This window comes from Homo sapiens, chromosome 5 (assembly GCF_000001405.40).
Source record: "Homo sapiens chromosome 5, GRCh38.p14 Primary Assembly".
NCBI classification, from domain to species: domain Eukaryota; kingdom Metazoa; phylum Chordata; class Mammalia; order Primates; family Hominidae; genus Homo; species Homo sapiens.
The window spans coordinates 58,069,796-58,094,882 of NC_000005.10; the positions used below are offsets into that span (position 1 = coordinate 58,069,796).

At 37.9% G+C, this 25,087-nt stretch overlaps 1 non-coding gene across 1 annotated transcript; it reads left to right on the plus strand.

Annotated features, from left to right (window-relative positions):
* The first annotated feature begins 392 nt into the window (after positions 1-392).
* On the plus strand, positions 393-496 carry LOC124901202 (small nucleolar RNA U13). Its single transcript, XR_007059166.1, has one exon. It is a non-coding gene; the product is annotated as a small nucleolar RNA U13 (small nucleolar RNA).
* The last annotated feature ends 24,591 nt before the right edge of the window (positions 497-25,087 follow it).

A 25,087-nucleotide genomic window follows, 5' to 3' on the forward strand; every position in this document is an offset into this window, starting at 1 on the left:
AACTTCTGTTTTATTGGATCAAGAAGCTCTTTTGTGGGTTCATTTCAATGATGTGCCTGTCAGTTTAATCCAAGCATAAGTAAATTTAGTCAAATAATCAGTTGGAATTGATTTAAATGGATTGACAGGTGGTTTTGAGGTCTTCAGATTATTACCTCTGAGGCTATTTACTCTACGTGTGTGTGTGTGTGTGTGTGTGTGTTCTAAAGCCAGGAATGTGGCCCAAGGGGAAGAACACAGAATGGTAACTATAAGAGAAAGAATATTACTTTGTGTAAATATAGGTGAGGCCAATGCAAACATGACAGGCCAAATGTAATCCTGTGTGATGGAAATTTATTTTTTAAGTTCCAAGTCGGTAAAATTATTTTCACACAAAAAGATTGAATCAGATCCTTTTGTAGTTTACGAGCATGATGATTGAGTGTTCACACACGGATGTGATATGTGCCACCCTCAAACCTTGTTACGACTTCAGCTTATTACCCAACTGACCTGAAGAAAGGGAAAGAAAAGGAAAGACTGACTCTTATTTAAATAACAGTATTGATACTTGACACTGTTAATTTCCTTATCATATTCTTAGGAGTATCTATTCATAACAATATGAAAGACATTGCTTTGACTTATATTCTCAAGCATTTCTTATGTTTGGTAGGTAAGAAAGTATATTCAATTATATCTCAAACTGAGATATAGTAGTATCCCTGCCTTCATCAGAAACTGTGTGAAAATAAGTAGTCAACATTTTGTACTGTTTAGGATATTGTGTGCTTATTTAGTGGTTTGACTTCAAATACATTTACAGGTAATGTAGAGTGGCTGCCTTCGCAAAGACGGGAGGGAAAGGCTGTCAGAGAGAGGTACAAGGAGAACAATAACCACAGAGATGGTTTATTCCTTGTTCAGAATATTAGGTATAGACTAGTTCATTATAGTACCTTAAATCACATCATATGTCTAAGATATTTAATGATAATCATTCAAGTACTTCACAGCCTGAAAAGTCTTCATGCACTTCCCTATAAAGATGGCTCCAAAATATATTTGAACACATTTTAAAAGTAAGTTGTTTATTGAATCTTCAGTTTTTACTACCTCTCCGCTCTATCTCAAAAGGTGACGTTCCCTAAAGCTTGCAGGTTGCCATAAATTACTGAGCTTTGGAGAAAAGTAATGAACTCATTTGTTTTGTTTTTGCTTTTCAACTTTACAGCAACCTTGAAAATAAATGAAAACTATCAGGATGTTTAGTTTAGGAAATTTTCATGGACTTTATATAAACTGCAGTAAGTCATTAAAAATAAGAGAAAAGCCAATGGGAAAAAAACTAATGTGATAGTGATAACTGAACCGTGATCTCCTAATTGCAGCTGTATATTATATCTACCTATAGCTACATGGCAACATAATATATTTATATCAATAAATTAGCAGCAAATTCCTAATGCTCTTCTTTATTGTTTCCCTCATACTACCTTCTTAAACCTCTTGGTCAAACTGCTAATTATTAGATTTTTTTCACCTTCTGCATGTATCTACAAAACATCTTCCTCTAATTGATTAATGGCAAGTCACTACATTTATCAGCTTACTCTTTCTGACGTCTGATAGGATTAAGCCTGAAGGGTGTCAAGGAAGCAGGAGGGAAAAGTATTCAGATCATACCTTCATTTGCATTCCTTTTAAGTACAGGAGAGTTTACAAAGCATTTATTCTATTACAGCTATCAATTTGCTATTTATATAGGTGTCCTGAGAGCCAGATGGTATCAGGTTAGAGGTTGGTCCTATCATTTCAGGAGCAACCTCCACTTCTGAAGTCACAGGCCCCAAGAACAATGACCAAGGTCGCCCTCCACAGCAGGGCTGTGCTTTTCTTTGAGGAGAGATAGCCCTTCAATGCTGAGAAACCCAGCTTCCAGGAACTGCAGGCCTCAGCCCAGGCACTGTCTTTCACGTAGTCCTGCAGAGAACAATTGTGTGAAGCACGGTGACCTCAGAAGCCCAAAGCCTGGCAGGCTATTTATGAATGCAGCGTGCTCAGAAAATGGGTTCAGGATGAGGAAACCCTATCAGAGCCCAATTTAGCTCCCACTCTGCCTGTGAGAGCATCCTATGAGAAAACAAGGGTAAATATAGCAATAACCAGGTTGCATGTTGTGCTTCTGAGAGCAGAAATGAGAGATCTTCAGAGAAATTTTAGCCAGACAAGTAGGATTCTCGGAGCATTTGTTGTGGAGCTAGATTATCGAGGTGTTTTTCTATTGGCCTTTTATCTTTTTTGAGGGAGTTGAAAATCTGGTCAATGAATTCCCACTTTTACGTAAGAAAACATTTTACAATGAATATGGGATAAATAACATTGCTCATCTTTGAAATATGATGGCCCCATTGTTATTTCCAGAGCAATCTAAATAGATAAAATAGTTTCTTTCCAAGCAGGTCGGCCACTTTGGGCTAATGCAGCTTATCATCTGTGAGAATTAGGCCTGGCCTGAAAATGCCCTCAGCAGGATTCAGTATAGTTTTCCTTATGTTATATAGTCATGTTAGTAATAACGACAGAGGACACCCCGTCCCAGGTGTCAATCACCTAGTGGAAGAAGAACAAGAGCTTCCTCAAAAGAATGCAGCAGCTAACGCAGAATGCTGTAAGACTCCAGCTTCACTGCTTTGAAACCTCCTGCAGATTCTTTTGTTCTTCACACACGATATATTTCACTCTTCAAATAGCTCCATGCTGTTTAATATCCAGAGTTCCTTTCATGAACTGTCACATGCTTAGGTTGACACAGACGCTAACTTAATTAAAGCCTCAGGGAGCACATGTATTATCCACTATAACTGGCCCTTCATTGGAAGGAAAATGGCATTTAGCAGCAGTTGTGGGCTGTGATAACCAACAAAGTGAAAGTAAGAAGAATACTGCAAGTGGAAAATGCTACAACCTTACAGAAAAGCAACACAACTGCGTGAAGCAGGGGCTGCCAAGGAAGTCATAATGTTGAGCCAATAATTCTTGTGGAGTTTTTCATAAGCAAATAGTAAAAACCCAAAGCTATAAGGACACAATTGCTCATTGCAATGACTGATATCCCAATCCCCAAAGAACAGAAAACAAAATCTCTTTAATTATAAATTTGCATATTGGGAATCTCAGTCTGGTCATTGACTCAAATATATTTTAATTTTAAAAAGCATGTATTTATACACATATACATTTGAAAACATGAGCTATGTTCTAGCAGTTCAAAGGCATTTGCCAAGACGTTTCCAATAATCTTGATGTAATTCCCTATTGTGCGCTTAAAAGATTATAAAACTTCCATTGAGCTTTTCTGTATTAAAACGAAACAACTCCATTCTACCTTCATCCCCTCTGGAAAGAATACAGGACCACATTTATGTATTTCTGGTATTAAAAATGCATATTTTACCCAGTGCTAAGTGGAGAGTCTGTTGCTTAATATTTGTAACCATGGGCTGGTAACAATTTCTCTCCAGAGTCACAGGTCCATGCAAAATGAGAGTACATGACCTCAGGCCTTGCCCTTCTCCTTCTCGGTCTTTACTAACATACAGGGGTACATACCCAGGACAATGGAACTGTTTATGAAACAATATAATTCATAATAACACAATGACTCCTTAAAAGTAAAGCTTCGCAAGTGGTATGGAGGAAATGACATCACTTTTAGACTGGACAAGAGACTTAGTGTTTCAGCAAGCATATGAATACAAGTTTTCTACCTGGATGAAATACATGCTATCATAAAGTAATATTCACAGCATGGTTAGGATGAGAATAAAGTCAGAGATGACAAAAATAACCTTTTTATGTTTTTTAATTCTGCACAATTATTCTGGTGCTTTTAAAAATGATTAATGACAATGGCTCACCGATTCTGAGACTTTTACCTGTCTGTGACTTTAAAAAATTAGAAATGCATGAGTTTTTAAAAAGTCAAAGTGAGAACTCAGAAGTGTTAAACTGAAAGTAATGAAAGCACTTTCACAAAATTATTTTTTACCTAAGGGAATCTATTTCAAGTCATATTCAGGATTCTGACTGATGAGTTGATGGATATGCCTGAATTCCATAAAGGAATATGAATTCAAGGGCAAAATGTATTTGGGGGAGGAAACAACTTTATTTAAAAGGCATTGAAATTGATTTTCAAAACTTGTGTGCTTCTGGGGAATAGGAAAGGACAAATTCTCTAATGAGAGCTGAGGATGAAAGTGAAGCGTGTAGGGAGAGAGATACAGACACATAGAGAGAGGCTTTGCAGATATACATGTAAGGACAGTCTCCATCCACAGCCTGAAGAAGTGCAAAAGGTCACTTTCTTGTCTCTGACATATAAGAATAGTATTCTATCATGCAGCAACCTCTATGAATTTGGATACCTCAGCTCATGTCTGAAAACAAAGAATAAAATGTCAAATTCGCCAGTATAAGTTCTGAAAAGTTTCATTATGAAGTCCCCAAATCCAGTAGCATAATTATTAGCTAGGTGTTGACAGCAAGTGTCAGGATGTATCAATATTGCCTGAACCCAGTCGTGATTCAGGAACTACAACACTGACCTTTACCCCAGACACAGTGAGTCTAAAGGCAGTTGTGACATAAAGCTCATTTCAAACAAATGAATAGGGTTGTAAACTTAAGTATAAACAGGATTGTACATAAATCTTTCATCCCTGTATATGTTCATCGTTTTTTTTCAGCTGCCCCAAACATACAAAAAAAGGGAGCTGTGTTTATTTCATTATTCGTATTATAGACTACTTTCAGATTGTGTTTAGAGAAGATGTCTCTTCCTATATGCATAGGTAGATATACATAGATCTTCCCAGTTGAAGAGAGTTATAGCATTGTTTATCTTTTGGTTCCTGTTGTTTCTCCTAACACAGTAATTTTCCTTCAATAAATATTTATTAAATAAATAAAATATAAATAGCTTTCCTCATACATTACAGCATAAGCATAATTAGAAATCATTTTTATTTTAACACCAAGGAGCTTGCTGCATATTTCTAGTTATAATTTGCATGCCACATAGTGTAGCATACTGCGCTCCGATTCAGGTGGAGCTGAGTCCTGCCCTTATCCTTTTTATTAGCTAGATGATCTCCATGGAGTTCATGACAATTTTAAAGGCTCTACTTCCTCAACTGGAGGACGGGAACGGAAAGGAGGAAAGGGAAGAAAAACTTAACTGGCTTATTTCCTAAGATTGCCCTGATGATTGATTGAGATATATGAATGCCGGGTGTAAAATATACGACCCACACCGGTATGCATTTTGAAAAAGTCTAGCAATCATGTCACTCCTTCCAACATGCTGTCTATAATGTGAATTTAGCCCTTATCATTTTTCTCACATTTGTATTTACAAGGCATTTTTCTTTTTCATTCAGGAACAAAAACTAGGATTTAGTTAGTACACAGACTGTTAAATGCGGCTTTCATAGAATGAATATTACAGCTTTTTAAAGCCATTTCTCATTATATTGAAAGCTTTAATTTTGAAAAGAAACTCATGTTTTGCTAACCAAGGTAACATGTAGTCTATTGTGTGCAAACAATATAAAATTATTGTTTGCAAATCTTTTTGTACCTAATTCTAGGATTGCCAAGGAAATGGAAAGATGAAAATGAAATATATGTAGCCATTCCAAGTTTTGCTTTACCTCAGCCTACCCACTTTGCAAGCACCAAAGTTTGAAGTTGGTTTCTAAATTCAGAACACAGTTTCCTAGAGGATCTATATTTGGAAGAAGGATATTTCCCTTGTCTAGAAATACACCCTTTCCTGTGTGCTCTGCAGATATCCAAATGGGAGTTTTCCCAAAACCAAGTAAACAATATCAACTCCTTTGCTTGTTATCTTAAATTTGAATTGAAATCAGTAACTTTGGAAAAATAGTTGGTAATTTGACACAAATGGTGAAGTCTTCCAGTGCTGTGTTCGGACCATGCCTCTGCTCTGCTTTTATGCCCTTTACATTCTTGCATTATTGTACGTACTGTAATATAATCCTATTCTATCTTCCTGATATAAACTCATTGAGGAGAAAGACCTTATTTTTCATTTTTAAGTCTCCTGTGCTTGGCATGGTTTTGGTATAAGGTAAGTGTCCGATAAGTATTTGTTGAAGGGATGAATAAATAAATTGCATATGACTATATAGACACACATACAGTAAAATGAATTTGTAAGGTCAAAACACAGCTGTTTACACAAATGATCAAATAACTTTAGTCCAGTCATAGAAATATAGTAACAGTGACTTAGAGGAACCGATTTGTGGTGAGATAAAACAGAGTTCAAAGCCAGCTCTGCCCCTTTGGCTGGCTCTATGACTTGGGCAAGTTACTACATCTCCTTGTAATAATTGCAATTATTACATCTCTCGGAGCCTCATTCTCCTCATCTGTAAGGTATGGAATGGGTAACAGGATTGAAGGAGGTAAAGCATGCAAAAACTTTTGTAAGGGTCTGGCCATGTAGCAAGTCCTTGATAAATGGTAGCCCTTAGCATTAAGTGGTAGTCACGGTAGAAAAATAAAAGATGTCCTAATAATTTGTAAGAGGTTTTACCACTAGAAACACTATATCTTTTTCTTTTAAGTAGTGTCTTTCTTTATACGACTTTTCATTCAATCTTCTTGAAGCCAGATTTCCTTCCGACAAATTATTCCATTTTCAGTTCTCCCTAATGGATGAATTCTTTTTCTCTTTATGATAAAATAAATAGAGGCAGCTGATACAGCCACAAATCACTCCAACTTCCTATGGAAATTACTTCATTGATTTCTGAAATGATAAAGGACCTGTAATGTACCTATAAATACAGTCATTAAGTCACAAATTGCTCATGGCAGCACAGGAAATCTCAATATACTGTCCAGGCATCATCCTCCCCCAAATACACATTTTCCCAAGGGCGCCCAGCCCGGATCCATTATCATAAGTACAGCTGGAGCTAGAGTCATGAATCAAGGGCAGCTTTCCTGTTCCTCATCCTTTCTGAGTTCATTAGAGTGGGCAAGTTTTCAGACTAACATGTTAGGTCAGAAGTAAGATCATTTGCATAAAACAAGATGAGTATTCACCAGTCAACTTCTCTGTGACATGGTCAGAGTCTGGATTCTAAAAGGAGCCTCTCCTGAAACCCAGAAGGCTCTGATGCAAAAGTAGGAAGGCGTCACAGACTTGGAAAGTGGACTGTATTCCCTAGCCCCAGACATTTCATTTGCAGGCATGCACCATGTCTCATGTCTGGGGCCTGCTCATATTGTCTTCACGGTCAAAGAAGAAAATGATAAGGATTTTGGGCACTGGAAGGTGCAAACAGTGGTTTTATTGCGTGTAAGTTCCGCCCCTGGATGCCTGCAAAAAAGCAGAGACCTTGGCATCTCTACCTGGAACAGAGATAATTCCAAGATCATTGTACGCCCTTTGTGGAATTATACTTAGCAGTGAAAATCTTTCAACCAACTTCTGAACTTGTTAGGGGTGGTTACTGGCAAAATTCTTTGTTTCCCTTTTATATTTATTGACTTTGCCTTCCTCTTACCCCATACTGGCTATATTTCCCTTTTGGGTTTTATTTAGTTTGCTGAGGCTTTCAATTTGTTTCTCCCCAAATCTTCTCAGATCTCTAGTCTCATAGGTTAGGTGTTTAAATAATATATTTAAATGGCTTGTGGAAGAACACAAACATAGAGGCATCACAGCAGGCACTAGGCTCCATGACCTGAAAAACAAACTTATTAATGCCTTTGTGTTCTTTTCAGCACATCCCACTAGTGGAGGGCTAGCTGGCAGCCGCAGCTCACTGCTTAAACCGAAATGAATTTCACAAGAAAACACAGTTCATATGCCAAAAGGAAGTAATTCAATCCAAGTACAGAATAATCTTTTTCTGGTACCTTATATTTATTTTTTATGTGCCGTATTTAAACTTTTAATCATCCAGCAGCAGCAGGAATTACTACTCATCATCATTCTTCCCATTGCATTTGGGAACAGCACCAATACTCAAGGATTACCTGGAGTGTGAGGGGATGCATATTAAATTCCTGTTTTCATTTTCCTAAATGTGTCCCATTATCTCTCTATTGTCCTTGGCTTTTGTGAAAGAAAAAGAGGCAAAAATAGGCCGAAACCTGTTCAGACAAGCAGCATCTAGTGAGCAAAAAGAAAATCTCCTGGGTAGGTCTTACTCAAATCTCTTTAATGGCACACTAATTATATATAACCCTACTGGCATCTTTGGTGTCACTTTCTTTAGAAAAATTATCAAGTGTTTATCCCTGGGGTTTATGTTGTTACTCTTGGAAAGAATCCACCAAGTGTCTGAAATGACTCTGAGGCTACTCTCCTTGAACCTGCCCTATGCTTAGCCAGAGTTTGTCATTAACTGCAGGTGGTTACTGAGCAATTATAGCTAATCAGAACCTTAAAGGGAGGGGTTTTTAATCCCCCTCATGGGACGCTTTCCCCTTGAAGTTCTGTTTACTTCTATTTGATGCTTTAGGCAATCCTCTAACATTTGGGAAGAAAGTTTTTCTATTTATCAATTACTATGAAATGTCTTCATGATGTGCTATTATTATATTATCTTTTAAAGGGAAATTTGAAAATTTCTTTGAAAATGAAATCTAGTTTTTTATACAGGATGAAAATTAATCCCTTCTAGGTTTGCCCTCAGCTGTCAGAAAACTCTCATAGCACTCAGTAGTTTTTAATATCTTTTCTGCTGCAGTCTGAGTCTGGCTAGGGTTTGTGACCAGACTGTTTAATAGCTTTGTATCTTTTGTGAGATCTTTATGATAAGGGACAACATATACTTTCATATTTCAAAGACAAATAATTTCAGAAGGTAACATTTTTCTTGAGAGTTGAATTAAAAAATCTTCTGAATTTTGGATAGGAAGTTTTCTAAAATATATTATGCACTTCATTTCCTTCTTAAACAAACTATTTGATGCATATTTCCAAATTTTTAAATAAATAAAATAATCATCATGGACGTCGACTATTTTCCTCTGCCTAAAACATAATGGTCTTGGGAATAATTAAGCTATTTGTGGCTATTTGCTCCATACCAAATGGTCCTGTACTGCCAGTCTTTTACAATCCTTTGTATGGCTTTTGTAAACCATAGATTTTGTCTATGGTCTTCATTGCTTTTACCTTTGTTTGCTTTCACTTCTTGCTGTGCCCTGGGCACTGCTGAGAGCCCTTAGCTAATAACTGACCCCTGGTGTATGAACATCAGGACATATTTTGACTGCTAGCTCCCTTGAGAACATTGGACTTAGCTGATTTCCCTGTTCCACATATAACTATGATGTACATTACTCTGACATTGAATGGAATCTTTCAAAATAGTTAGTCAAAATGGTGGAACACAAAGTACAGGTTGATCCTTTTACTTTAAATAAGTCGAATGTAAAATGCAGAAAGCCAAACAGATAGATACTACCTCTAATAGTAAAAGCAGATGGGCTAGAATCCAAATTTTGTCTATTCTTAAGCTTTATTTAGGAACTAAAGTGGTTTTATTATGTTAAAAATGTAGATTCCTGGACACACTTCAAACCTTCTGGATCAGAATTTCTGGAGGCAGAATTCTTGATTCTTAAGCATGCAACCAACATAATTTTGACAAAAAAAAATTGGGGCCACATTTTGCGAAGTGTTAAGCTATAGTTAAGCATTATAATAATAATAAGTATGCTGGTGAATCACAGTGATCCTTGTTAAAAGAGAATTCTTACTGATAAATAAAAGTATTTATAGTCTTTTCTATATTCATTATATATTTTATAATGAATCATCTATTTTTAGAAAAGTTCTGTGAAGTAGAAAATTTAACTCAGCATAAAAAAAAATGTAAGGTAATGTTTTTATTCTCAAGAGGCGGATTGGGCTGCAGAACATCTGTGAACTCCTTAAAAGTGCATGCGGCCGGGCGCGGTGGTTCACGCCTGTAATCCCAGCACTTTGGGAAGCCGAGGCGGGCGGATCACGAGGTCAGGAGATCTAGACCATCCTGGATAACCCGGTAAAACTCCGTCTCTACTAAAAATACAAAAAAATTAGCCGGGCGTGGTGGCAGGCGCCTGTAGTCCCAGTTACTCCGGAGGCTGAGGCAGGAGAATGGCGTGAACCCGGGAGGCGGAGCTTGCAGTGAGCCGAGATCTCGCCACTGCACTCCAGCCTGGGCCACAGAGCAAGACTCCGTCTCAAAAAAAAAAAAAAAAAAAAGTTTTTTTGGATATATGCTTTTTTCTGGGAAGAGAGTTGATAACTTTCAAGTGATTATGCTCATTTTAGAGATGAGAAAACTAAGGCTCAAAGAGATTAAGGAACTTGCCCTTAGCAGTTAAAAAATGAGTTATTCTTTCTCTGAATAGTTAAAGAATTTCTCAGCCGGATAGAACTGGGGTCCTAAAGATAGGTGTGTCCGATTCCAAATCCATGCTGTTTTCCATCCAAGCTTAGGGTCTCTCAAGTGGCTTCAAATATTTTCTTTCATTATTCTCGGAAGAGTTGCCCAATTTTGCCATGAGGTTGCCCTTCCCATGGCCCTGGCCATTCTTTACCACTTTTGTTCACCTACTAGTCCTACCAGGTGAATCTTGTCTTAATAGTCTAATCATAATGTAATGAAGTGCTTTTCTCTCTTGGAGAAACAATGGCCCTCATTCTCTGTCTTATCTGATCTCATTTTGTTTCCGGTGATAGCTAACTCAGTTTCTTCAGGAGAGTTTTCCCAAAATTGTCAGAGAACAACCACACCAGACCTATTCAGCAGGTTAGGGGGAGCCCAGTTCCCCATTGTCCCCTGTTCCATTTTTATTTTTTATTTTTCAGTTTCTCTTGAATAAGCACTTGAAGCAGCTGGGAAACTTACACCACCATCTAAGTAAAGCCAGCATGATCTCTGCCTAGCAACAGGAAGCAGGATCTATTGCCAGTGGCAATGTTTGTTTATCTCAACCAAATGCCTACTCATTCAAGAGACAAACCTGTCGTCTTGGTTGAGTCATTATTTTTTTTTCTAAATAATTATTTCTCTTTAATTATTTATTTAAGATGAGGCCCTTTTTAACAAGTGGGCTTCCACCACCTCCAATACTCCCCATATGGCTTTTTAATATTAGTAATCCTAAAGTGGGTGTTAGAACTCTCAAACTCCTCCACGGAGTCCAAGAACAGAAAAAAGAGGAAAAGAAATGAGAGTCTTCGCTAGAGGATCCTTCGGCTGCAAGGAAGAGCAGACATCCAGCAGCCTTGTGAGATCACTACTGATTCTGCTTTTTCACTGCAAGAAATATTTGTTCAGGCATTTGCAATGTACCATGTGTATGGCTAGGAGCTAGGGATACACATGATTAAGAAACAATATTTGACCTCATGAAGCTCCACATCAAATTAAAGAGACAGAGGCACATACCTAGGGAAGTGGCTGCAGTTTGTGTATGCATTGAGACACACTCAGTGATGAAGAGGAGAAGCAACTGTTATCAGGAAAGATAAAGGAAGCGACTGCTTCCTTGGGCTGGCCTTGTGTTTTCTCACTCATCACCACCCAGAGTTACATCAATCTGATGGTCTGCTCTAGGGAAAAAGAAGAAATGCACGTGGGTATGTTTAAATTTCCAGAAGGCTTGGGGCCTTTAACCAGCTAGAATTGTTTCTCTACAGAGGCTGAAAGTGCATCCATCTATCACTGAAATCTACTAGGAACGTATTGTCCAGCCTAGAGGAATTAGGAATTAATCTTTTCCAGAGAAAATCTTTTCCATGGTTGAAATCGAAACTGCCCCCAGAGAATAATATTCCTAGGAATATACATAATACAATAAAAACAAAGAGCACAGTTGAATAAATCTATGGTTAGACTGAAGAGTTTTGTTTCATTGAAGTATGTTGCTGGATTAGCTGAATCCTTGCTGTTTAGATTTTCTTTCTGAAATACATTGTAATGATTGCTTCAAATGTTTTATATTCAGACTTGGCCACAGTTATACTATTGAATTAGTTGGATGAATTTTAACCGATTTAAATGCAATTGGGCAAGTAAATAAAATCAATCTTATACCAGTTAGTTAACACTGTGCTAAAAATGTAATTATATGACACAATGTCTTCCACAATGGTTGAGCTAATTTACACTCCCACCAACAGTGTAAAAGCTTTCCTTTTCTTTGCAACAATAGAACTTTGAATGCTAAACTGAAAGAACTTTGATATGATCAGGTCTACCTACCTATCAAGTAAAAATAAAATAAGTTATAACTTTAAATAATTAAAAATAATTTTGGTACAACATGATGAACTAGTATGTCCCACTTCATCAGATTGGAGTACAAAATAAGGGGATATTTATTTTGAGGTTTCAACTATAATGATTATGATTTCCCAACTTTCTCAAAATTGGGGGTATGTTATGCCACTTCTCTTTTGAAGCAATGTCTGTCAATCCCTGAGGAATTCTCACTTGTAAATTCCACTAATATTTGTCCACTCACTAAATACCAGACCTTGTTCCAGGCATTAGGGATAAAAAGGATGCCCTGATTTCATAGAGCTTGCATTTTAGTTGGAAGAAGCAGTCAATAACCCAACAAATCAACAGGATGACCAATAGACAAACAGCAAAAAAATAAGGAGGAAAATGTTAAGTGTTATCTGAGAGCTAAATTTCAGTGATTTGATGAACAGTGAGGGGTAGTCAGGGCGGGACTTTCCGAGGGCAGGGCATTTGAGGTGAGGTCTGAAGGAGCGGAAAGCAATCCATTTGGCTGGAGCACAGGAGCGGAAGTGAAAGTGAGGGAAAAGCAGGGATGGTCCCGGAGAGTCTGGTGGAGATGTAGATTTTAATATTCCTGTGAAGGGAAATCACTGGAGCCTGGCAAGTAGGGGGAGTGGCATGGTGTGATTAGTAACTTCAAAAGATGTGTTTGTATGGAGAATAGATTGTAGCTGGCAAGATTCGAAACAGGGTGAGCAGTTAGAAGCTATGAGAATGGTTCAGGTGAGATTCAGAGGGGACTTGGAAAGTGTGAAGCCATGGGGACATGTTCTGTAGGTGTGTTGATTAGACCTGGATAAGGTGTGGGGGTGAGATTAAGGATGGCTTCTAGATTGCATCGCCAACACACTTTTAATGCTTTGTGATCCCAGAGATTTCCGGGTCCCCATATGCAGTCAGGCAATGGTGTTTCCTAAATGTTGCATCTCCTGGTACCAGCTTACTACAGGCACATTTAAAAATTCAATACCCACCTAAACCAAAGTATGCTATTGAACACTTTTTATTGCAAGTTTGGAATTTCAGCACTTGCTGATGTCTTATCAGGCTCAAAGTTCCCATCCAAAGACCAGGTGGTAGAGGTTGGCTTTTTCATTTTGGCCAAAAATAAATCTTAGTTCACTCATAATTTTGAGCCTAGAAACCTCACACTTCCAGTCATTTGCTCAGTATAGGTGACCTTTTCCTTTCCAGTTGTCCCTGCATAATTAACAGGGGTAAATCTGTTTCCTGTATTAGAATCTATAATATGTAATTAGAACAATGTGTAATTAAAACTTCTACAATATATAACTAGAACTTCTCCACCCAGAAAGAGCTATTACAATAGTGAACCCAATATTTTACATATTTGGGGAAAAATTTTAGCTAATAAAGTGCCCTCCAATTTGCATTATACACTAACTGGTTAATATTCTGCAGCATCCATATATAATCTTATGGTCACTTTATTATGTTCTCAAAGAGCAGGTGGGTATTTGCTTTATTTTACTCTTTTGACTAAAGCTGTTATTTAATAGGCTTCTCAATGAATGTCTGGCTCATTTTAGAACAAAGATAATCTTCTCTAAAAACAATTTATTCTTAACCTTCAGAAGCCAACTCTAACAAGATCCCCATTTTACAATTTCTCACAAATAAAAAAATAAAACAAGTTGAAATTACTCTTTTTTGATTGCTCCTCCATTTATAATTTTTGTACCATCATCAAAGGAAGAATTGAGAAGAGCAAGACAATAGCCTGTATAAATGTTTGAGTCTTTAGTGAAAAGTGGAGATTATGTGGTCCAGATACCATCCACAGCTGTGATTTTGTTGAAGATGGTTCAAATCACCTGAAGAGTTGTTTCAAGTATACATGTTTCTCTCGCCTCCATGAGAACCACTAATTTACAGTCGACTATATCATAGAAAAGGCGCAAGTGCATTAAATTTTGCAAAGCTATCTTTATAAATTCTAATTAATCATGAAAGAATGAGTCATAGAAGTAAGGTGCAAGGGACACTGTTATATAATTCACATGATAACTGATTTTGATAGTTTCTTTTATGTAGAACTTGTTTATATAAGAAACAGAATTTTATGACTCTTAGATATACAAGTGATCTTTGCACATTTAATGCCTTTTGGGTATAGTAGGCAACCAAAGAGTTCTTAGTAAGTTTAAATAATGTGTTTCTCTGTAGAATAAGGAAAATACACATAGCAAATTAAACATTTAAGATTCTAAGTTCTTTATGCAGCTTTCATTTTCCTTGGATGTTCATTGCTACATATCTTAAAACAAGCAGGACTCTCAAAATTGAGTAGAGAAAGAATCAGGAAATTTTCCATGGAGAAGAATGGTGTCACTGAGGTGTGGCAATGGCTCTCAAGTATGCTTTCTCTACGGGCTCACAGGAACATGTGTTGTCTTTGCCTCCCTTCTTTCTCTGTCAGAACAATAGAAATATTGGCAAATGTTCCCAGAAAATTCTAGCAAATTCTCTCTACTACAAAAATGGCCTTTAGAGAAAATAACTGTGAAAAGTAGGAAGTTATGAGAAGACAAATTTGAACAGTCCAATGTGCTTTTGTTTGTTATAATTAGCTGTGTGAACTGGACCTTTCACTTTATAAAATAAGAGCATTCAGTTGGGCAATATTCTTCACAGACACGTTCACTTTATGTTTCCATCAAAGTCTCAGAGCTATCACCACTTACTGTAACTCTTTTTCAAATTTCAGAGATTAAAGTCATTTGAAAACACAAATAAGGTAGCTTGGGAGATGTTCCTGGATTTCCATAACATCCATTCTTACTTCTTTAAGCTGTAGATTCTTAGGCACACATTCCCACTGCCTCATTATTCTACTGGCAGCTAAAGCAAAGTGCTACTTCCAATGCAAGAAGCCAGCCAGGAAGCCCACCTGCTCATTCTTTCTCACAGTAATATTTCTTCCATATTCTGGCTTTGAACCTTTTCGACTACTTGACTATCTGACCTTGCCTTTTTTTATTTATTTTTTTTTTTTTTGAGAAGGAGTCTCGCTCTGTAGCCCAGGCTGGAGTGCAATGGCACAATCTTGGCTCACTGCAATCTCTGCCTCCCGGGTTCAAGCAATTCTCCTGCCTCAGCCTCCCGAGTAGCTGGGACTACAGCCTTTTTCTTTTCAGGATAAGTGCTGCATATCTTCCTATCCTTCCTGAGGCCAACACCAGGTATTTATTACACGTCTGCTTTCTAGCAGAAAATAACATACTTGCTTCAAGGGTCAGACCTCAACTTGCATAAGACTTTGGAAGAATTGTCTCTCTTTCTACATGAGTTGATCTGCTTTTTCCTGAAGGCCTCTGCCACCCAGCAGTCCTTGTTTTGTATATGAATGACATATAGAGACACTCAAAGGAGGGACTTGACCCATATTTTCCAAGATATTTTCAATCTTCCTCCTCTTTCAGCACAGAATACTATGGGCAAGAGCAGCTCCATTTTGCCCCCTATTTAAAACAGAAAAAAAAAATGATTTTCCCCAAAACGAATTTGTTTTATTGAAACTCATTTCCTCTGTTAATTTTCAATGATACATGTTTACTTATAATTTAAAAATGAAAAAAGGATGTATAAAATTCTGGGAAAATAAAAATTTCACTATTTTGCTCCAAAATGCTTTTTATCTCTCTCTAGTGTTACTAATGCTTTTACCTTAGGTTTCTACATTGATGTTATGGATGCTATGCTTTTGTCTGAGAAAATTTTCCTCAGGGAAAATCCTTAACATCCAAATTCATGGGCCTCTCTAATAAAGTGCATGGCCAGGTGAAAGGTGAAATGAATCATAGCATGCCTGCGGCATTCAGTCAACAGCATGGGAAGCTGTGCCAACTGTGGGCCAGCTGGCTTCGCCTACACACTCTTCCCCTCATACAAACGGACAGATTTGATACTGTTCTAGCTGTGAGTCCAGGCAGTTCTATGATAAAGTGAATTCATGAAGACACTCTTATCTCAAAACCAACAACTCCATGTATTCACTCCAACATCTGAGAAAGAACTGAAATCTTGGAATATTTTTCACGGGGTAGGCAAGTTTTGGGGATGCTTCAGCTAATCATGGAGGCACCTTGAGGTCAAATACAAAGGGGTGATGCCCCAGACTTCTTTCTAATCTGTCAAACTTCTGAATCTGGAAAATCCAGCGATGCTAATCCATGGGCTCAGTAATCTGAAGGGATTTGGGGAACTTGAGAATCAGCAGCCATTATTTTTAAGTGTTTCATTGTCTTCCTTCTTTCAGGCAAAATAGAATAACTAATGGAAACACAAGTCTTTCCACCTCATCAAATCCAACTCATAAATAGAAAGTATCTGGTATTCTAGCCCTAAAGATTTGGGATTCTTGAGACATTTGGATAACCCTAATGTCTGGTTAATACAGCCTATGGCAACCTATAATCAGGTCAGTTGAAGCTATATTAAACTGCACTGATACTGTCATCCCTGAAATTTACAAGTTTTCCATAGACTTGTGTATAGACATAATCCTTTAAACTATTTGCGCATTACAAAAGATTATAACCATGATTTTATGACATAAAAAGAAATTTGAGTTTTGGTGTATGGTGTAGTAACCTCACCTTTATAACAGCTGATTATTAATTTGCATGTAGAAAAATCAGACTAACTGGAATCTTCCAGGTTCCATGAGAATAAGTATGGGCAAAGTATCTTTCTCAGCTATAAATTGGTTCTTCATTAGACTTTCTCTTCCTCTAACTCAAAGACAAATATCCTAATAAACAAATTCCTGTGTCGATATTTTTATAATTTTTAACACATTTAGCAGCAGAATAACTAAATGGATTTAAGACTTCGTTGAAAATTATTGTCAAAAATCTGTAAGAATAAATCATGTTTGCTTCATTTTCTAAAGCTCAGGTCCATAATACATGGTATTCTAATTAACCTATATGATCAAGGCAGCCCAAAGAAACTTGCCCCAGACTTGATGAGGAAATTGAATTCCAGTTAAGGTTCTCTTTTCCAGAGACCTCTTTGCATGGCAGAGAACTGAATAGTAGCAGGAGGAATAGTTTGGATATGGAGGGAGTGAGTTCAGTAAGTTTTACTTGGAGCCCAGGGAATTTGTTCTCTGAGTCTTTCATGTGTGTTGATGGAATGGGGCTGGGTCAAGGCTGCTAGGGCCTTTCACAGAAGGGGAATTCAGAGTGTTCACAGCTGGATGGTTATGATATATGAGTGAGGACAGTGGAGAACAGCTGGAATATTATTGCTATTTATCCAGACTCTCAAAAATATATCTGTGACAAAGAAGCCCACTTTTCTCCCAAATAAGAAGAATAGAGAAATGTTAGAGATGGAGATGATTCGTGTGCATGCTTTCCACTAAAATTTTTCAAAGTTTAACAAGTTTTTTGTGTGTAGCCTTGCAGAAAAAGACATTGTAGTTGACGTGGAAAGACAAACAAGGTTAATGGTGGTCGTATAAATACTCTGGGAGAACAAAAAACAACACAAAAAATTAAGCAAGTTTCAAACATGTCTCAATATTCTTATCATAGGAGGTGAATAATAAAGGATATATTTAAAAATCAGGAATTCAGATGCACTTCAAATCACTCTCAAAGGTTAAATGCCTCAATGGTGTTAGCTCCCTAACTTAACGATGCCGATTTTCCTGTAAAACTTCAAGAATTTTCTTTTTATCTTTAACATTAGGAGAAATAACATATTTATAGGCTTGCACTTTTAACTTATTTAGACCTGGTTTCAGAAGAGAAGACAAATCATCTCTCCCCCGATCCAGGGTTTTGATCAAGGCCCATAATTCAAAAACAACCTTGGTTCTACTTGTTTCTCAGGGCCTTTTAGTACCATGTCTGGCTAGTAACTGGATGACTTGAGCATGCATTATCCAGCCCCCTGTGTCCTTAAAGCCATCTTAGACTGGGTTAGGCATGTAGTTATACAGCTGCTGGTTTCCACTGCAGGAAGTGGGTACGTTTAGAGGGAGGACTAAAGTGAGATGCATGTCTAATTTCTTTACTAGGCTGTAAACAACTTTGAGATATTTCAGGACAAAAGATAGTATTTAAAGGTAAGATATTATAAAGAGTGGCAATAATAGTAATGATAGTAATTAGTGTTATAATAAAATACAAAGGAAATGAGAAAAATGTATCTTTAATAATCTGAAGTTAACTTGACAAACCAAACAAAATAAGTAAGTGAAATAAGCTTTTTGCTTGTTCTTTGGAATTGATAATGACTTGCCCACTGTTTATATTTAGGACTTTGCAGGAGCTCTGTGAAAGCTACCACGTGATACAAAGGAATAATATATATATATATATATATATATATATATATATGGTTCCTATATGTCTTCAGTACGTTGAATCTAGCTTCAGCATTTATTAAAAAGAAATACAACTTGTCAGGGTACAGTGTGTAAACCTACAGGCTGTCAATTGACAAGAAAAAAAGTACTTTTTCTCTTCTAGCCATTCTTCCTCTTTTTATGTGGGGACAAAAGAAGATGCTGTGTTGGCAAGAATTTGAAGGGCACATGGGTTATATCTGATCACCTTTCCTTGCAGGTACTTCTAATTAAAGTGAGATTTGGAAAATATAGATTCTCTTTGGTGATACACAGATAACGAACTAGCAAACAGAGCTTTTAAATCTAGAGGTGTGTCCAGAAGGTCATGTAGGTTCCCAGGTGTTCGTGGCCTCAAAGGCGGAAACTGCCCTATGGAAATATTCTCAAAGGATGGTGAAGATAAGTTAATAATAACAATGTGTGTTTACCATAGATGGAGGGGCCTTTCAAAGCCCCAAGTTCTCTTCCTCTGACACATATGCATTTGTGTATGGAGTGTGTGTTGTTCCTCTCATCCATGTGACCAGACGCTCCGGTAGATATTAACAGCAGGAAATGCAAGGTGTGAGTGTCCAGAGTGGGTGGTGCTGGCATTGGACAGAGCAAACCTTTGAGAAGCAGGAAACTCTTCCAGGAAGCAGGAGGCTGGGAAATGCCTGTGTCTTCGCTGTTTTGTTTGTAAAGGGCTGTCTTGAGTCATCTAACGGTTGGAGTTTTCTCCTGAAGGAGGAAGTAGGCTTTAGACAAAGCGAGGATTGATTTGTGTTATGCTCTTGCTTCAGAAAGGAATTAGAAATTATTTTCTTCTCAGGGAGGAATGATTTGGCTCACAGTGAAATGTACACCACAGATAAGGTGATGAAGTTGGATCTGCTGTTTTTATTGTATTGGGAGTTTCCTCTCAGCTTTAGATAGGGGTTTCTGTGGGTTATAGAGCTTGAAGAGAATTACCAAGAGACTAGAGATCAGTATACCTATTATATTTACTAATTTATTCATTTATTCACAGAACAAACATGTATTTAATACTTAATATAAAATGGTCAGCATGTTACTTCAAAATTATATGGAAGTATGAATAATTCTGAACCATTTTCTATTTGAAATTTGTTAAGATTATGACACTGTGACATACGAAGTAATTAGATTTTAGAAATAAAGAACATTTGTCACTAATATTTTTCAGTAACTTTTGTATTCCCATTAATATATTATGTACCTTTATATACAATCATGTGCTACATAATGGCACTTTGGTCAATGATGGGCTGCATCTATAACTGTGGTCCCACAAAATTAAAATGGAGTTTAAAAATTCGAGGGAAGCCATAGCCGTTGTAATGTCATAGCACAACACATTACTCACTTGGCTGCAGTGATGTTGGTGTAAACAAAGCTACTGCACTGTCAGTCACATAAATGTAGAGCACATACAATTATGTGCAGTACATAATACTAGATAATGATGATAAACAACTACGTTGCTGATTTACATATTTACTATGTCATATTGTTATTGTTATTTTATAACAATATTCCCCGTATACTCCTTCTACTTACAGAAAAATAGAAGTTAACTGTAAAACAGCCTCAGGCGGGTTCTTCAGGAGGTATCTAGAAGAGGGCATTGTTCTCACAGGAGATGACAGCTCCATGTGTGTGATTGCCCCGAGGACCTTCCAGTGGGACAAGATGTAGAGGTGGAAGACAGGGATACTGAAGATTCTGACCTTGTGTAGGCCTAGGCTAATGTGTGTTTGTGTCTTAGTTTTTAACACAAAGTTTAACAAGTAAAAAAAAAAAATTTTAAATCTAAAAAGCTTATAAAATAAATATACAAAGGAAGAACGTATTTTTGTGTTTGTGTTTTAAGCTAAGTGATATTACAAAAATGTCAAAAAGTTAAATAGTTGAAAAGTTTAGAAAGTAAAAAGTTACAGTTAGCTAAGATTAATTTATTATTGAAGAAAGAAAAAATATTTTTTTAATAAATTTAGTGTGGCCTAAGTGTTTATAAGGTCTATAGTAGTATACAGTAATGTCCTAGGCCTTTACATTCACTCACCACTCACTCACTCACTCAGCCAGAGCAACTTCCAGTCCTGCAAGCTCCATTCATGGTCAATGTTCTATGTAGGTATACCACTTTTGATCTTTTTTTTTAAGCCATATTTTTACTGTACCTTTTCTATGTTTAAATATGTTTAGATATACTAATACTTACCATTGTGCTATAATTGCCTACAGTATTCAGTACATAACATTCTGTACAGGGTTGTAACCCAGGAGTAATAGGCTATACCATACAGCCTACGTGTGTAGTAGGCTGTGCCATCTAGGTTTGTGTAAGTACACTCTACGATGTTTGCATAATGATGAAATCACCTAATGGTGCATTTCTCAGAACATTTCTCCATCGTCAAGTGACACATGACTGTCTATGATCTCCTTTAATCTTCCTTTAATCCTCATCCAGTAGCGGTAACTACTACTATCCTTATTTTAGAGATGAAGAAAAGAGGCTTACAGAGGTTGTTTCACTTTGTTAGAGCTGCCACAATAAAATACCATTAACTGGGTGGCTTAAAATACAGAAATTTATTTTCTCAAAGTTCTGGAGGCTGGAAGCCCCATCAAGATATTGGCACAGTTGGCTTCTTCTGAGGCCTCTCTCTTTGACTTGTGTATCTGTGTCAAAGTTTTCCCTGTGTATCTGTGTCCAAGTTTCCTCTTTCTACTAGGACACCAGTCATAATGGAGTAGATCTACCCTAGTTACCTCATTTAACTTTAATCACCTCTTTAAAGGCCCTCTCTCCAAATACAGTCATATTCTAGGGTTTTAGGGATTAGGACTTCAACACATGATTTTTTTTTTTTTTTTTTTTTTTGGTTGCGGGTTGTGGCACAGTTCAGTTCATAACAGGTTAAAATGTTTCAAGATCACATAGAGAGTAAGACAAGGGTAAGCCAGGACATGCAATTCCCTCCTTTCCTCTTCATAAGCCTTAGAGTGACCTTAAATAATAGTGCTTTCCCTGTTTCCCTGGCTAGTCTTTATTGCACACCTGTTATGTGCCAGGCACTGCTACAAATGCTGAGGGTAGAGAGCTCCTTCCCTTATGGAGATTGCTATGTTGTGGACGAGCCAGCCAAGAAGTAAGTTAGCAAACACTCATGTGAGGCAACTCCATAAATACAGTAAGTACCACACAGGAAATAAATAGGGCAATGTAACAAAACATGACTAGGTGGGGTGAGGAGATGGGAGGCCACTTTGGAGAAGGAGAGTCCCAAAAGTCTTCTCTAGAAAGGTAATCTTGAGCTGGAAACCTAGGAGAGGGGAAGGTGCCAGCCCTGGGTCAAGGGTGGGGAAAAGTTTTACTGCAGAGGGGAGGGAAAAATGCAAAGGCCCTGCATAGTGACAGAGCAGGCCTGGTTGTGTGAGAAGACCTGTGCTATGTAGGTGACTTTCCATGCTGCCCAGCAGAGGCATTATTGATAGCAAACTTAGAAAGCAGAGTTGACCATTGTAGTTTAAGAAGCTGTGAAGCCCTGGGTTCTAATCTCAGCTTCAGCCCCTACTAGCTGTGAAACCTGAAAGGGCACTATCTGTGTCTGAGCCTTAGCTTCCTCAAGATAGAGGAGGAGAATATGGGTAGAGCAACACACAGTATCCACCTGCCTTGGCCTCGAGCTTGTCATGATGCACGTATGAGATAATATGCATGACAGTGCTTTTCAGACTGAAAATGAAGTGTCACAGAGAAGACCTGGAGTCATTGTTTCAACATGTCTGTCTATCTATCTATCTATCTATCTATCTATCTATCTATCTATCTATCCATCCATGTGTCTGTCTGTCCATCCATCCATCCATCAATCCATCCATCCTTCCATCCATCCAATCTATCTAGCTACCTAGCTACCTGTTTTTCCCCCAACTTTTACCTAAATGTAATCAAAACTCAAGTAGAACTCAAAGCATTCTACTTTATGAAGTGACTAAAATCATTTGTCATGGCAAAATTATACGAAGTTAAGTAGGTCATTTCCTTTCACTCATTAAACAACTCAAAGTGAAATTAGTTATTTTTGTTTATAGAGAGGCTCATGGAGTGTGTTGCATATTCTCTTTGAGAACTCAAGCATGAGCAGGCATGCCCTGACTGGCCAGCAAGTAGGGGTGAGGGTGGGGGTGGAGGTGGCTGTTTAGGGCGTCATTTACAGGAAGGTCCACAGAGTCCTAAGAGAGTAGCGTTAAAGGATAACTTTAGGTTGACATCCACACCTCCATATTTTATAGCTAAGACCCCCAAGATACAGGGAAACAGTTCTCACTCTTGATGATCTGGGCACTCCTTTATCATAACAAGGAATAAACCACTCAGAGGAGAGAAAGCAGCAGGTGCACAATCATTAAATCCTTCCTGTCTCCATGCCTTTGCACACGCCGTTTCCTCTCTTTAGAATGCTCTCTCCAGAGTCATTCACGTGCTGGTTCCTTCTCATCAGTCCTTCCCTAGCTCAAATGGAATTCATCAGGGAAGCCTTTCTTCACCACCCAGTTCATCCTTTCTCCTCACCAAAATCACTTTCTATCCTTTCCTCTTTTTCTGTTTGCCTTCACAGCATTTATCACTCCAAATGTGTCTCAAATATTTATTTAACTTTTTTTTTTACTGTCTTACCCAAACCAGACAACAAATTCTATGGGAGCAGGGAAACTACCAAGTTAATCACTGCATCCCATTGTCTGAATCAAAGATGTTGGTCATTACATCGCCTGTGAATCAATGAAGGGATGACTACTTTTAGGTAAAGCTGGGTACTGGGGAAGGGGTTAATTCTGTGAACAGTACATTTTTACTTAAATTCTATTCTAGCCTTGGGTTCCGGGGACTTGGTTTCCAGGAGAAAAGAGATACAGAGTTGCTGTAGGAAAGCTAATTAATTGTAGACGAAAGCCTACAATTGTAGAAGAAATCTCAACCTCTCCATGTCTCAGTCTCAGCAAAAAAAGACTGGAAATAATAATAGTAACTTGCAGGATTGTTGGAAAGATTAGTGAAGTAATGTTTTCAAAGCACATGGCATGAAGATCAATAAACGGCATCAGTTATTGTTAACTGAGTCATTAAAAGGGCAAGGCACTCTGTCTTTTGACCTAATAGAAGTTTTACGTAAGTGTGAAAAGCCAAGAGCCATGCTAAAACCTTAATGCAAAGAGCTAGTGGGTCTCATCCATCTGGAAAATCTGGACCAGGCTTCCATAGCGCTGGCAATGGAGGTCCTTCCTGACTCTATTGGCCTCCCTTAGAACACAATGAATCCTGCACCTGAGGACCACAAGGACTCTTTTCTCAGCAGATGCATCTTCATACTGATGCAAGTTTCTCAATTTTCATAAAAGTTATTGAAATCCTTTAATATGTAATTACTTAATATTAATTTCATGGGACGAGGCTTTGAAAGAGCCCACAGGCTTATTTCAGCAGCATCAGTCACCTTGCATGCCAAGCCACTGTGACATTTCTCAGCTGTAACTTAAGGGAAGGCAAAGATAGCCTCTTGAGTTGGCTTATGCTGATTTCAGCAGGCTCACGAGCGGCAGCGCCCACAGGAAGGATGTGTACAGGATGTGTGCAGGTGTTCCTCACGCTCTATTCTTATGACATGTTTTGCTGAGTGATGACAAGTCATCATTTTCCCATGAGCGGCCACCTTCTCTTTCCTCAAACTTCTGAGTCATAAAAGGCTCAGGGCTATTTTCTCAGCTTGAGCAATGGCCAAGGAAAGACAGAGTGCCATGAGCATCCTTTCTCATGTCCTCTTTTTTTCCTGAACAATCCCAAGGAGAGAAACCCTGGGAGCCAAGTTTACAAGAGTAAATACAAGGAGGACAAAGATATTCTTTACAACTAAGTGCACACCAGGAGAATGTTTAATGCAGTTCTTGCATGTCAGTTCTGTAACATCTCAGTCTGTCTTGATTGCCCACTCTCCCTTGGAGGCCATGGGCTCTTCTGGAGGGCTGTGGGCTCCTCCACTTCAGGAGCTTTCCAGACAGCCTCTTCCTTACCTGCTACCATCCTGTAGGAGGTCCTGTGGAGGATGACAAATGATGCTTTTCTTTACCTTAGAGCACTTAAATAAGAACAGAAAAACTAAGTTGATTTTCCAAATTTCCCTCTGAAAGTAAAGAGATTGGAGCCAAAAATATCTGGGTCCCCTGTCCAACATCCCAAATCTTCATTGTTCTGCTCCTGAATTTCTTCCAACCAAAGGCACTCCTGGCCTTCCTTCCTGCATCCAGTCTTGGAAGCAAATGTTACATTGCCACTTCCTTTTCTTAAACATTT